Consider the following 15,624-nt stretch of genomic DNA (forward strand, 5'->3'; position numbering starts at 1 on the left):
TGGTTAGATTTTAGGGTTTCCTACCAAGGAAGAATTTTATCCAAGGAGAATATGTTTTATACTTACGTGGACGGCCAATACAATGAGGATTTTGCTGACTTTCATGCTAAACAATGGCTCTATATACAAATGTGTGAAAGTATATCTATTCGTATTTACTCATTTTTAGATATTCAGGACCTCATACACACTGCCGGCAAGGTGTCAGTAATGATTTGTTACATAAACAAATGAATAAATGTTTATTTGCTGTCATATTTAAGTGACCAACTCAGAGAATGAATTTGTACAGTTTTCCAAGTATTAGTTGTCATTTTATTTTATATATTTATTTATACTCTTCTACATTCCAAGATAGAATTTTAAGTAGTGATTTTTTAGAGTTCAGAATTGAACTTGATTATTACTATAATAACATTATGTATTAAAATACTACCTTATTTTCTGCAACTTACGTATGAATAAGCTGGTTTTATTTTGTATTTGAAAATCCCATTATCTCCCAAAAAAAAGGAGTGTCCCAGGCACAGGGAAGTTAATTAACTTTTTCGTGTTTCAGATGAGTGAGTCTAAGATGCTCGACCCTAAGTCATTGTCCTCAATTGTCTCTTCTACACACTGTTTAGTTGGGAGCAGCTTCCTAGTTAAGTAGGATTAGAGAGTTTGGTCCAGTGAACAAATCTAATTCCTGCCATGTAATCAGGACTGAAATCCTGCTCACCAGATGAATGGTAGATACATCACCCTTCTTATCTTTCTTTTACAGGTCATGTGAGTAATATAATGTAGATAACCACCCTTGGTGCTTAGTCTTGAAGAATATATGTTTAACAAACCTTATGGTAACTGTGTTTAGTCATACACCTATATTTAATAAGATAGCTTTTATATTGAAATTCTGTGGAACTCACAAATAATAATTTTGCTTAAAATATTTTCTTGCACTAATTATTGTCTTATTTCTATTGATGTCAAATAAATTCCACTGAAAGTTCTGGATGCTGTGTACATGATTGTCAGAAAGAGCCCCTACTCAGCCACTTGAAAAATACCATAAATTATACTTAAGGCTTCTTTTATTCACTCAGCAGAGTCAAGGGAAACATTTAGCTTGAATTCCATAGGTACATTGGAGTCAGTGATTATACGAGTCATTTGATAGTTTGGATGTACACAATCCAGGCTGTGTAGGAGGAACCATTTCACTTTGAAATGTGTTGAACATTTCTATATCCTTCAGTAATCAACATCTTTCAATTCAAAAAAGTATATAAAAATGGTAACCTGGTTTTCAATTTTCACTTGGATAGTACCATCTTAATAAGTATCAAAATATAGCACTATTTTAATAATATTATTTTTAATTCCATGTTTAAAAGAATTAGTGAAATGGGGCCTGAAACATCCTTTTTCAATATCAAACACAACTTTCATGTAAAAATATATCTTTGTGATTCCAGATATCAATTTATGTTTATTTTGTAACCTGTTTCATTATAAACATACTTTATTATTTTAAGAACTTGACAAAATATTATAACCATCTAAAAGCTTCAGTTTCACCACTACATATTACTTTTTTTTTTGAGACGGAGTCTCTCTGTCACTGGAGTACAGTGGCACAATCTGGGCTCACTGCAGCCTCCACCTCCCAGGTTCAAGCCATTCTCCTGCTTCAGCCTCCCGAGTAGCTGGGATTACAAGTGCGTGCCGCCACACCCTGCTAATTTTTGTATTTTTAGTAGAGATGGGGTTTCACCATGTTGGCCAGGCTGGTCTCGAACTCCTGACCTCAAGCGATCCTCCCACCTCGGCCTCCCAGAGTGCTGGGATTACAGACATATGCCGCCATGCCTGGCCCACATATTACTTCTTAGTGTCTCCTTTTCTTTCATATGTTTAAGGCCATTTAATAGGGCGAGGCTGGGACTAGGCTAAGGCAAACAAAGCACAGGATCTTGAGGAGCGAGTGCCTTCTTAAATTTTGTACCTTAGGTGCCTTGCTTGCCTCACACTAGTGCTAACCCTGCAACAGGGTTTACAAATTAAGAAACATGGAGACTCTGAATCTCTAAGCTCATTCCAAATCATGACTGCCATTTGATTGTACCTTTTTTTTTTTTTTTTTTTTTGAGACGGAGTCTCGCTCTTTTGCCCAGGCCGGACTGCAGTAGCGCTGTCTCTTTCTCGGCTCACTGCAAGCTCTGCCTCCCGGGTTCATGCCATTCTCCTGCCTCAGCCTCCCGAGTAGCTGGGACTACATTTTTTTTTTTAATTGAAGAGAGACAGGCATCTGGGGTCAATCAAAAGATGAAAGAGGAAAAGGAAATGGAACTAAGGGAGCCTTTCCTAGAAGCGAAAGGGAGATCACAGAAACCTGTCACATTAAGGACAAAGGTTATTCCATCAAGTATCATTAACTCGCAATAATGGCTGAGAGAGCAGCAAGAAAAATCTGAAACAGAATATATATTAAAGAATTTTTGTTATTTCAAGTACAATACATTTAAAAAGCATAATGCGTACTCATCAACAAACATTTCAACATATGTTCTAAACACAAATAGAATGATTATCAGATTGGGCATGGTAACTAACACCTGTAATCTCAACACTTTGGGAGGCTGAGGCAGGAAGATTGCTTGAGCCTAGAAGTTTGAGACCAGCTCTGGCAACATAGCAAGACCCCATCTCTACAAATAATTTTAAAAATAGCTGGGCATGATGGTGCACACCTGTAGTACCAGTTACTTGGGAGGCTGAGGTGGGAGAATCGCTTGACCCAGAGGACAAGGCTGCAGTGAGCCGTGATCGCACCACTGCACTCCATCCTGGTGACAGAGCAAGATCTTGTTTTTTAAAGAAAAGGAAGAAAGAAAGAAAGAAAAAGGAATGATTTTCATAACTCTTTGGTTTGGAAATTTTCTGATTCTGGATCATATGTGTTTACTTAAAGGAAACCCTTAATTTTTTTCAATAAGATTATTTTCAACTATAATTTAGTACAAATGATAAATATCAGAATTTAGAAATAGAAATCAAATTATTGAGGTTTCACTGATATCAAATTAATCTCTTTTAAGTGGAACAACTTCGTGTGTAATAATCATTTGTGGACAGAGGAATCAATGTAAAATTAGTGGAGAACAAACTTATAGAATTTTAGTTATTGATGAGCTTTTTGGTGTTTTCCCAATTTTTTCTTTACTGAACATTTATTCCTTCTGTTACAGAATGTTTTTATATGATGTTAGAGTAAACATGGAATAAGGCGATATCATGAAGATTTCTAATGTGAGAACTTTTATAGACTTTTTATTTGTTAAGTGGTCTAAATGAGAGCTGGAAAAATGTTGTCAATAGAATAAACTTCCAAAGCCATATAAGATATCCAGACTTTCACTGCAGACATCTTATAAACCATTAAAGTGCTATATGCTGTAATCTCCCTTCCCCTGCCTATAACATACAGTAAAAGCAAATGACTAGAGATTCAAAATGAATTTTTAATTATTTTCTGTGTATTCCTTGCCTGAATTTACTTATTTTTTCTCTTAGGATCTGAGCAGCAAAGATATGAAGAGAGATTTGTATATCGTTGCCCATGTGATCCGAATAGGTACTGTTCACCTTACCCATTCACATGACTAAGAATGGCCCAACTTGGGATAAGTATGTCTTGTGCATGAGCTTTGTTTTCTCCCTAGATCTTACCTGTAATTTCAGGTCTCAGGATTAGAGTCCAGCTTGTATTGAAGCTATACCTAAGCTCAACTGCTATGGTAGCTTGGTTTGATATAAATGGATTCGGGGGGGTGGGTTTTGTTTGTGTTTTTTAATCACTTAAAACCTTCTGCTCCCTGTTTTTAGACCCAAACTTTTTATTTAAAATGGTCTACTTCTAGACATTATTTCTAACACAGTGCCCTACCCTTTCCCTCAGAGATCTTATAGCAGGTTTCCAGAGGTGCCAACTTCACAGCAAAGGCCATTCACCACCTATTGTTTGTGTTTGAAATTATGTATCTGTGGCTCTCTCCACAAAATTAGAGTTATTGTCATCACTCCAGAAGATGGATGACATTTCACTTCTACCCCACCCAAGATGAAAAAGTGATTTTTACTACTGTTCTGTGGTTGGTTTGCTCAGACTTATTTCAAGTTTATGATACAACTTTTGGGGCTATGGTGAACCAAGTCCTCCTTCATAGGTTTGAGTTTTGGCCTATCATGTACATTTTTATCAAAGAATATTTTTTAATCCCTTGCCAACAAAACAGCTATTTGCTGTACTAAATAAAGTGTTTGTTAAGGTTCCAGCATTTGCAAGTCTTCTTGCCACTGTAGGCACAGCTTTGGTAAGCAGGAAAAGTAAACACTCATCCACTTTCTAAGACTACTCTCAGTCCCACAATTGTTCAAGATGATGTTTGACAGCAGAATTTGGTTGAAAGAACACAGTATCCTCCTTGTCTGTGCATATGCAGTTTATACCTGGCAGCTAAAATACTAAACTTTGTATCTAAAACATACCTGAGAAGTTTAAATTTATTATTAGCACACTGGTTTTTCTAAGAAATTCATAAAATCACTTTTATTCTCATGTGATTAATAAATGGAGTGTTGATATTGGTTTAGAGTTAGATAAGAATGATTGATTGAATGTAGTACAGGGAAGAGCTTTGGCCAGAGGCCTGTTTGGTGTTCTTCCACATAAATATCCTTGGATGACTCCCTTCAGCCCTGTAGTCTTCACCTTAGAGGATTTCCTAGGTGCCTGTAGCTCAGGCATCCTTGGATGACAATTAGGTGATACTGGAGAGGAGCATGCTTTTCTCAGTCTGACTGGTGTTTTCTGCTGTGCCCAAGGCCGGATGCTCCTGAACGACTCAAAGAAAGGTCCTCCTCACCTGCACTACAGGCGACCATATGGCTGTGCGGTCCTAAGCATCTTGGATGTCCTACAGTCACTCACAGAAGTAAAGGAAGAAAAGGATTTTGTTCTTAAGGTTTACACGTGAGTAATGGACATCAGGAATATTAATGATTTGTAGCATAAGACATCCCAGCACTGCCCTTGAGAGTAGTAGTGCTCAAACCTTGTGGACACAGGCCACGCAGTGGCTCACGCCTGTATTCCCAACACTTTGGGAGGCCAAGGTGGGCAAATCACAAGGTCAGGAAATCGAGACCATTCTGGCTAACACGGTGAAACCTCGTCTCTACTGAAAATACAAAAAATTAGCCAGGCGTGGTGGCACGTGCCTGTAATCCCAGCTACTCAGGAGGCTGAGGCAGGAGAATTGCTTGAACCTGGGAGGCAGAGGTTGCAGTGAGCTGAGATTGCATCACTGCACTCTAGCCTGGGCAACAGAGCGACACTCCGTTTCAAAGAAAAAAAAAAAAAACAAAAACACCTTGTGGACACAGAATCACCAGGATGTAGGAAAAGGAGCTTTTTGAAAATGCAGAAGATTGGCCGGGCACGGTGGCTCACGCCTGTAATCCCAGCACTTTGGGAGGCCAAGGCAGGCGGATCACGAGGTCAGGAGATCGAGACCATCTTGGCTAACACAGTGAAACCCTGTCTCTACTAAAAATACAAAAAATTAGCTGGGTGTGGTGGCGGACGCCTATAGTCCCAGCTACTCGGGAGGCTGAGGCAGGAGAATGGCGTGAACCTGGGAGGCGGAGCTTGCAGTGAGCTGAGATCATGCCACTGCACTCCAGCCTGGGCAACAGAGTGAGACTCCGTCTCAAAAAAAAAAAAGAAAGAAAAAAAGAACAAAAAAATAAAATGCGGAAGATTGATCTAAGATTTGGGGTGGGGCCCAGGCAGCATTATTTTTAATAAGCTTCCCAGGTAATTCTGAAACAGCTTCATTTGGGACCTTCTATCCCAAAGTGAAAATCTGGTAGTACACATTTTCTTTTTTCTCCAGAATTAACCAATCTTATATATTTGCAGAAAAGCTAACAATATGCTTCTCATGTGTCTTGGCTATGAGAGTCTTGCATGTCTAATGCTTGCCCACCAGTTATTATAACTGAGCTGGCTAATGATCAAGATTGTTTAAAAGAATGATCATGAGTCGAATTTCTCTATCTTTGAAAGATAGCCCATTTTTCTGAGGAGCTAAGATATTATTCTTCACTTGTGCCACTGGAGATCGATAAGTCACATCCAACCAGGCATGGCATTATTTTTAGTGTTCTTCAACCAAAGGATATTGTCTTAGATAAGCAGTCCATCTCCTTCTAACTTGTTAAACAATAGGAAAAACACAATAATGAAAATAAATGCAGAATTCAGTCATATACTCTATCTTTGCTCATATAGTTAGACACAAATTGTAGTGCTAAAAAAATGATCAGTGGTGAGTTTAGTAAGTTTTTAAAGCAAGTATATTTAAAACTGTGAGAATTTTTAAAAACTCATCTTTCAGTTTAAAAACCCAATATTGTTTATCCAAATTAAATAAAATACTTCCAATCACCATGTTAATGTATCTTCACCATAATATCGTATAGATATTTTTCTGTATTATCTGTTGCTCTGTCTGACTTGGGCATGAAATAAGCTTAATTCACAATTTCTGTTAAGCCACATTTGATTAATTTCAAAATAAAAACCCAATCTCCTCATTACCTATTTTCCCTTAAGCTTTGTTCCTTTCAGAGTTGTATACTTTATGGGATGAGGATCTTCCTTTGGAATCATAACTTACAAAGAAAATTTTGGCTGGTTTTCTCCTCCTTCCATGCATCAGTCACAGGCTTTCTCCATTTACCAAATCCCCAAATTGATGGGTGGTGGAACCTGCTTGTTTATATGCCTTCCTCCCTTTGAAAAGGACTAAAGAGAAATCCAAAATCATCATCATTATCATCTTACTCCACTGTATTCCTTCCAAGGGCAAGGGATTTATAGATAGCACTCCAGAATTGTTATCTCTTTGCATGTATTATGCCTTCCTTGTTTTGGTGCAAATTTTCATTACAGATAGGAGCTTGCACAGCATTCCTCCTGAAATCATGCTGTCAGGCTTAATTGGCCTAATTGCTTCTAAAGCAACAGCTTTCTGCAAGAAACAGGATTCATGTATGTATTTTTCTTAGTTCCTTCTTATGGATGGTCTGTGTCTAATAAAGTAGTTCTAAAAAGATGAAAAAAATATGTTTATAGAGAAGATTTTTTTTCAAATTTTCTTTTGAAGGATTAATAGAGTTAAAATGTACAATAATTTTTCCACTTGAAAATGTTAACAGACTTTCAAGCAGACTATCAAATGCATGTTTGTGAAATTGATTTTGTGTGCAATATAGAATTATTCTAGGATTAGTCATTTTAATCCACATCAGCACAGTGAATCTAGCCCTCAGGAGAAGCAATATTTTCCAGTAAGTTTCAGGCAACATTTTTGTTGGTTAGATTGAATTGGAAGCTTAAAGAGTTTACTAATTGCTATTGATAGTTCTTTAGCCTTTGCTAGGATGGGATTTTACAAAGATGAAAACCTCTTACACAGTTTTAATGAATGAGTTGGCAAATATCCGATTAGTTGTTCACATTCTTATCATTTCTTTCATTGTTCATAGTCAGCCTTAGCCAGAGAAGGTAGAAACTCCTGTCTGTCTCTGCCAAGGCCACTATTCTGCTGTATAATGTTTTCACTTGTGTATGGGAAGGCACCACACATCCTTTTAAGAAAATAGCAAAAAAAAAAAAAATTGCAATAAGAAGCTGAGGCATGAAAACTAAGTCACTTCCTAATGAGTCAAAAGCCTTAAAACTCACAAATAAATAACCATATGTACATTTCAGTCTGATATAGATACCATATTTTTCTTGACCCGAAGGACAAGGGGTCACAAGCAGGCACAGGGCATGCTGTACTTAGAACCCAAAAGGAGAGGAGTGCCAGGAGCTAAAGCCAACATTGGAGGGGGTGGGTGTCCATAAATAATGCACGTAACCAAATACAAGATGGCTTTGAATATGTGATGATCACTGTCCAGTTTTACAATGAAAAATGTCCAAATATATTTAGGCCAACCTTAATGAAACAGATAAATACATATTTTGAATATTAAATTTTTAATTTGGATTACAGTATATTTTATATTATAAAATATGTATTACAAATTATGTACTCAATCACATATTATGTAAAATTGAGATATATTGCTCATTCTTGGCTCTCAAATTTTATGAAAAAATTTATTTAAATTATTCATATGCAGCCATGTCATCGGGTCTTTGTCTTCACTTAAGCCACTTTCTGAATTATCTGATACAGTTTTCCAAGGCACATTATTTTTACTCCCACCAGATTGGCTTTAATGCATCATTCTTTGACACTTTCATGATGCTTTCACACTGGAAATTCATCTTGAGGCACAAGATGATACCGCCACTTACTATGCTACTTTTATGGTGATTTTTACAATAGCATTTAACACGTCAATTTGGTGATCATACCCCAACCATAATTACTAAATCTGTGTAGCTTTGCTCTTTTTTAAAAAAATGTCTTTTAACCAATTCTGCCAGATAACCTTCATAAGCATCTAAAAACTCCCATTGATTGAGGTAATTTCAGATTAACATAACTTACCCGAACAGTGCTGTGATGTTCAAAATAAAGAGATTCAGGCCGGGCGCGGTGGCTCACGCCTGTAATCCCAGCACTTTGGGAGGCTGAGGCAGGCGGATCATGAGGTCAGGAGATTGAGACCATCCTGGCTAACACGGTGAAACCCCGTCTCTAGTAAAAATACAAAAAAATTAGCCAGCCATGATGGTGGGCACCTGTAGTCCCAGCTACTTGGGAAGGCCGAGGCAGGAGAATGGCGTGAACCCGGGAGGCAGAACTTGTAGTGAGCTGAGATGGCGCCACTGCACTCCAGCCTAGGTGACAGAGCGAGACTCCGTCTCAAAAAAAAAAAAAAAAAAGGAGGAGAGTCAGAGAATGCCCCATATCATGAAAGGCTTTTTGAGGCCAGAAATATCAAGTGGCATACACCTACTATGTACCCACAAAAATTAAAAATGTAAAGAAATAAACTTCTTTTAATTAAAGCAATATTAGGTGGCAACCTCTTCTGTGAGTGATGACTGGAAGGGAACTGCTCCTCATATTTGGGATAGACACTAGGCCTATTCAGGCATTTTTTGAGAATACTGTCTTTGGGTTCTTTGCTTCATAACCATCCTATCCACGAAACTGTCTTAAGAGTACTTGTTTAGGAGCCTTTTTTTTTTTTTTTTTTTGAGACGGAGTCTCACTCTGCCAAGGCTGGAGTGCAGTGGCGCAATCTCACCTCACTGCAGCCTCCGCCTCCCAGATTCAAGCCATTCTCCTCTCTCAGCCTCCCGAGTAGCTGGGACTACAGGCACTCGCTGCCACGCCCGGCTAATTTTTGTATTTTTGGTAGAGATGGGGTTTCACCATGTTGGCTAGGATGGTCTTGATCTCCTAACCTCGTACTCAGCCTCCCAAAGTGATGGGGTTACAGGCGTGAGCCACCACGCCTGGCCAGGAGTCATTCTTAAATGGAAGCACATTCTGAAATGGGTGAAGGCCCATTGGGCCATCCTCTTTTTATCCCCTAGCCTTATTGAGTTATAATTGACAAATAAAAAATTGTGCACATTTAAATTGTACAACATGATGATTTGATATACATAAACATTGTCGGATGATTACCACATTCAAGCTAAGGAACATATTCATCACTTGACATATTTACTTTTCTTGTGGTAAGAACACCTAATGTTTACCATTTTAGCAAATATACAATATAGCGTTATTAACTATAGCTACCATGCTGTACATAAATCTCCAGAAGTTATTTATCTTACAACTGAAAGTTTGTGTCCTGAGATGAACATTTCTCCATTACCTCCTCTTTTCCACTATCCTCTAGCCCCTGGCAACCACCGTTCTACTCTCTGCTTCTATGAATGACTTTTTTAGATTCCTCATATTAGTGAGAGATTATGTAGTATTTGTCTTCCATATCTGACTTATTTTGCTTAGCACAGTGCCCCCTAGGCTTGTCCATGTTGTCACAAAAGCAGGATTCCCTTTTTTATTATGGATGAATAATCTGTTATATGTATAATTGATACATAATTTTTAATTCTATACCATTATTTATTATATTTCAAAAGATAAAATAGATGTATTTATCTCAGTGGCCATCTCAAGTAAATATAATTACATTGGGAATTGACAGATGAATAATAAAGAAAATATATAATTCCTCATTCATCCGTCACTTCCCATTGTAATTATATATTCTTTATTATGTATAATTATATATATTATTTTTATTCAAAGAACTATATGTATATATATTCTTTTTTTTTTTTTTTTGAGACAGAGTCTCACACTTGTCACCCAGGCTGGAATGCAATGGCGCAATCTCAGCTCACTGCAACCTCCACTTCCCGGGTTCAAGCAATTCTCCTGCCTCAGCCTCCCGAGTAGCTGGTATTACAGGTGCCCACCACCATGCCCAGCTAATATTTGTATTTTTGGTAGAGATGAGGTTTCACCATGTTGGCCAGGCTGGTCTCGAACTCCTGACCTCAGATGATCCGCCTGCCTCAGCCTCCCAAAGTGCTGGGATTATAGGCATGAGTCACCATGCCTGGCCTATGTATATTCTTTATTATTCATCTGTTGATGGCTGCTTGTTTCCATATCATGGCTAGTGTATATAATACTGCAATAAACCTGGGAGTGCAGATATCTCTTCAAGATAGTGATTTCTTTTTCTTTGGGATATACCAGAAGTGCGATTGCTGGATCAAATAGTTGTTCTATTTTTAATTTTTTGAGGAACTGCCATACCATAATGGCTGCACCAATTTACATTTCCATCAACAGTGTTCAACAGTTCCCTTGTCTTCACACTCTTGTCATCACTTGTTATCTCTTGTTTTGTGATTACAGCCATCCTAAGAGATGTGAGGTGATATCTCATTTTCTTTTTGATTTGTATTTTCCTGATGGTTGGTGATATTGAGTACCTTTTCATATACCTGTTGGCCATTTGTGTGTCTTCTTTGGGAAAACGTCTTTCAGGCCTTTTTGCCTGTTTTGTAATTGAGTTATTTGTTTTTATGCAATTCAGTTATATGAGTTCTTTATATAGTTTTAGATATTAATCCCCTATCAGATATATGGTTTACAAATATTTCTTCTCATTCCATAGATTGCCTTTTTGTTTTGTTGATTGTTTCCTTTGCTGTGAAGAAGGTTTTTAGTTTGATATAGTTCCATTTATTTATTTTGGCTTGCCTGTGTATCTGTTGTCATATCTCAAAAAATCACTGCTAAGACCCAATGTCAAGGAGCTTTTATTTCTGTTTTCTCCTAGTTTTACAGTTTTAGGTCTTATATTTAAGCATTTAATCTCTTTCGAGTTAGTTTTTGTGTTTTATGTCAGATAAGGTCCTATTTCATCCTTTTATATGTGGATGTACAGTTTTCCCAGCATCACTTATTGAAAACTGTCCTTTCCCCATTGTGTATTCTTGGTACCCTTGTCAAAGACTAGTTCACTGAGTTTATTTCTGGGATCTGTATTCTGTTCCATTGGTCTATGTGTCTGTTTTTATGGCATTACCATATTATTTTGATTACTGTAACTTTACAACATTATTTGAAATCAGGAAGTGTGATGCCCCTAGCTTTGTCCTTATTTCACAAGATTGCTTTGGGTATTCAGAGACTTTTGTGGTTCCATACAAATTTCAGGATTGTTCCTTTCTATTCCTGTGAAAAATGTCATTTGGAATATTGATACAGGCTGCCTTGAATCTGTAGATCACTTTTGGTATTATATGGATATTTTGAAAATATTAATTCTTCCAATTTATGAACACTGGATTTTTTTTCATTTATTTGTGTCTTTTTCAATTTCTTTCATCAGTGTTTTATAATTTTCAGTAAATAGATCATTCACTTTCTTGGTTAAATTATTCCTAAATATTATATATTTTTGATGCTATCATAAATGACATTGTTTTCTTAACTTTTTTGGAGAGCTTGTCATTAGTATATAGAAATATTGCTGATTTTTTATGTTGATTTTGTCTCCTGCTACTTTACCGAATTTTATTCTAACAGTTTTTTGATTGAATCTTTAGGCTTTTTATATGTATATAAGGTCATGTCATCTGCAAACAGAGACAGTTGAACTCCTTCACTTCCAGTCTGGATGTGTCTAATTTTTGTTTGCCTGATTGCTCTGGCTAGAACTTCTAGTACTGTGTTGAACAAAAGTGATGAGAGTGGACATCTTTGTCATGTTTCTGATCCTAGAAAAAAGGCTTTTAGCTTTTCACTATTGAATATGATATTAGCTGTGGGCTCATGGTAAATGGCCTTTATTTCTTATATATCTAATTTATTGAGAGTTTTCATCATGAAAGGATGTTAAATTTTGTCAAACACTTTTTCTACATCTGTTGAAATGGTCACTCAGTGCTATGCACTATCAAACTACTAGTGACATTCTTCACAGAACTAGAAAAAACTATTTTAAAACTCACATGGAACCAAAAAAGAGCCCGAATGGCTAAGGCAATCCTAAGCAAAAAGAGCAAAGCTGGAGGCATCATGCTACCTGACTTCAAGCTATACTACAGGACTGCAGTAACCAAAACAGCATGGTACTGGTACAAAAACAGACACATAGACAAATAGAACAGAATACAGAGCCCAGAAATAAGGCAGCATGCCTACAACAATCTGATCTTCAACAAAGCTGACGAAAGCAAGCAATGGGGAAAGGACTCCCTATTCAATAAATGACACTGGGATAACTTTCTAGCAATAAGTATAAGATTGAAATTGGACCCCTTCCTTACACCATATACAAAAATCAACTCAAGATGGATTAAAGACTTAAGCATGAAACCCGAAACTATAAAAACTCTGGTAGACAACCTAGGCAATACCATTCTAGACATAGGAATGGGCAAAGATTTCATGATGAAAATGACAAAAGCCATCGCAACAAATGCGAAAATTGACAAATGGGATCTAATTAAACTAGAGAGTCTGCATGGAAAAAGACACTATCAACAGAGTAAACAGAGAACCTATAGAAATAGGAGAAAATATTTGCAAACTATGCATCTGACAAAGGTCCAATATCTAGCATTGATAAGGAACTTAAACAAATTTACAAGAAAAAGGAATGCCATTAAAAACTGGGCAAAGGACATGTATAGACACCTTCAAAAGAAGACATACATGTGGCCAACAAGCATATGAAAAAAAGCTAAACATCACTGATCATTAGAGAAATGCCAACCAAAATCACAATGAGATACCATCTCACACCAGTCAGAGTGGCTATCATTAAAAAGTAAAAAAATAACAGATGCTGGTGAAGTTGCAGAGAAGAGGGAACACTTATACACTGTTGGTGTGAGTATAAATTAGTTCAACCATTGTGGAAAGCAGTATGTTGATTCCTCAAAAACCTAAAAGCAGAACTACCATTTGACCCAGCAATTCCATTACTGGATATATACCCAAAGAAATATGAATTTTTCTATCATAAAGACACATGCACATGTATGTTCATTGTAGCACTATTCACAATAGCAAAGACATGTAATCATCCTAAATGCCCATCAATGGTAGACTGCATAAAGAAAATGTGGCACATATACACCATGGAATACTATGCAATCATAAAAAAGAAAAAGATCCTGTCCTTTGCAGGAACGTGGGTGGAGGTGGAGGCCATCAATCTTAGCAAACTAACTCAGAGACAGAAAACCAAATACCACATGTTCTCACTTATATGTGGGAGCTAAGTGGTGAGAACACATGGACACAAAGAGGGGAACAGCAGACACCGGGGCCCACCTGAGGATGAGGGTGGGACGAGGGAGATGAGTAGAAAAAATAACTATTGGGTACTAGGCCTAGTACCTGGGTAATGAAATAATCTGTACAGCCAACCCTTATGATACGAGTTTACCTATATAGCAAATCTGCACATTTACCCCTGAACCTAAAATAAAAGTTAAAAAAAAAAAAAGAAATGGTCATATTATTTGTATCCTTCATTTTCTTAATGTGGTACGTCACATTTATTGATTCATGTATGTTTAACCATCGTGCTATCCCAGGGATGAATCTCACTTGATTGTGGTATATGATCCTTTCAGTGTGTTATTGGATGTGGTTTGCTAGTATTTTGTTGAGAAGTTCTGCATCTGTGTTCATCAGAAATTTTGCATCTGTGTTCATCAGACTTGTAATTTTCTTTTTTTTATGGGTTTAATATCTAAAATCTGAAATGCTCCAAAATCTGAAATTTTTTAGTGCTGATATGATTCTCAAAAGAAAATGTTCATTGGACATATTGGGTTTCAGATTTTCAGATTAGGAATGTTCAACCAGTAAGTATAATGCAAATATTCCAACATCTGAAAAAATTAAAAATCTGAAACAATTCTAGTCCCAAGCATTTTAGATAAGGGTTACTCAACCTATAGTCTTTTTATCTGACTTTACTATCAGGATAATGTTGGCATTGTAAAATGGGTTTGAAAATGATCCCTTCACTTCATTTTTTTTTGCGGGGGAGTTTGAGAAGGATTGACATTAATTATTTTTCAAATGTTTAGTAGACTTCACCCATGAAGCCTTTTGGTCCTGGGCATTTCTTTGTTGGGAGATTTTTGATTACTGCTTCTGTATTCTTATTATTGATTTTTTTTTATTCTTTATGATTCAATCTTGGTAAGTTGTATGTTTCTAGGAATTTATCCATTTTCTTAGGTTATCTAATTTCTTAACATATAATTGTACATAGAAGTTTGTTATGATAACTTTGTGTTTCTGTAGTATCAGTTGTAATGTTTCCTCTTTCATTTATAATTTTATTTATTTGAGTCTTCTCTCTTTGTGTTCTTGGTTAATTCAACTAAAGATTTGTCAGCCGGGCGCGGTGGCTCACGCCTGTAATCCCAGCGCTTTGGGAGGCGAAGGCGGGCGGATCATGAGATCAGGAGATCAGGACCATCCTGGCCAACATGGTGAAACCCCATCTCTACTAAAAATACAAAAATTAGCTGGGTATGGTAGCACACACCTGTAATCCCAGCTACTCGGGAGGCTGAGGCAGGAGAATGGCTTGAACCCAGGAGGCAGAGATTGCAGTGAGCCAAGATTGTGCCACTGCACTCCAGCCTGGCCACAGAGCAAGACTCCATCTCAAAAAAAAAAAAAAAAAAAAGATTTGTCAATTTAATTTAGCTTTCCAAGAAACCAACTGTTAACGATGTTTATCTTTTCTGTTGTCTTTCTCGTCTCTATTTCATTTATTTTTGCCCTAACTTTCATTATTTTCTTCCTTTTGTTAACTTTGAGCTTAGTTTGCTATTTTTTAGTTCCTTGAGATATAACATTACATTATTTGAGATCTTTTTTCTGCAGGTAGGCATTTATTACTGTAAATGTTTCTCTGAGAACTGCTTTTTCTGCATGCCTTAAGTCTTGATAGGTTTTGTTTTCATTTTCATTTATCTCAAGGTATATTATGAATTTCCTTCTTTGACCCATTAGTTGTTCAAGAGAGTGTTGT

General features: G+C 36.8%; 1 protein-coding gene across 23 annotated transcripts in view; it reads left to right on the forward strand.

Annotated features, from left to right (window-relative positions):
• DOCK3 (dedicator of cytokinesis 3) overlaps positions 1-15,624 on the forward strand; it is a 709,272-nt gene that overhangs the window by 480,759 nt on the left and 212,889 nt on the right. For 22 of the 23 annotated variants that reach the window (XM_005264914.4, NM_004947.5, XM_006713010.4 and 19 more), the window contains exons 11-12: positions 3,559-3,619; positions 4,870-5,017. In XM_005264914.4, coding sequence (XP_005264971.1) covers positions 3,559-3,619; positions 4,870-5,017 — 209 coding nt within the window. Of the gene's footprint in view, positions 1-3,253; positions 3,295-3,558; positions 3,620-4,869; positions 5,018-15,624 lie in introns of those variants that run through there. The other variant, XM_017005827.3, reaches the window with a different exon arrangement.

Source organism: Homo sapiens, chromosome 3 (genome assembly GCF_000001405.40).
Source record: "Homo sapiens chromosome 3, GRCh38.p14 Primary Assembly".
NCBI lineage: Eukaryota > Metazoa > Chordata > Mammalia > Primates > Hominidae > Homo > Homo sapiens.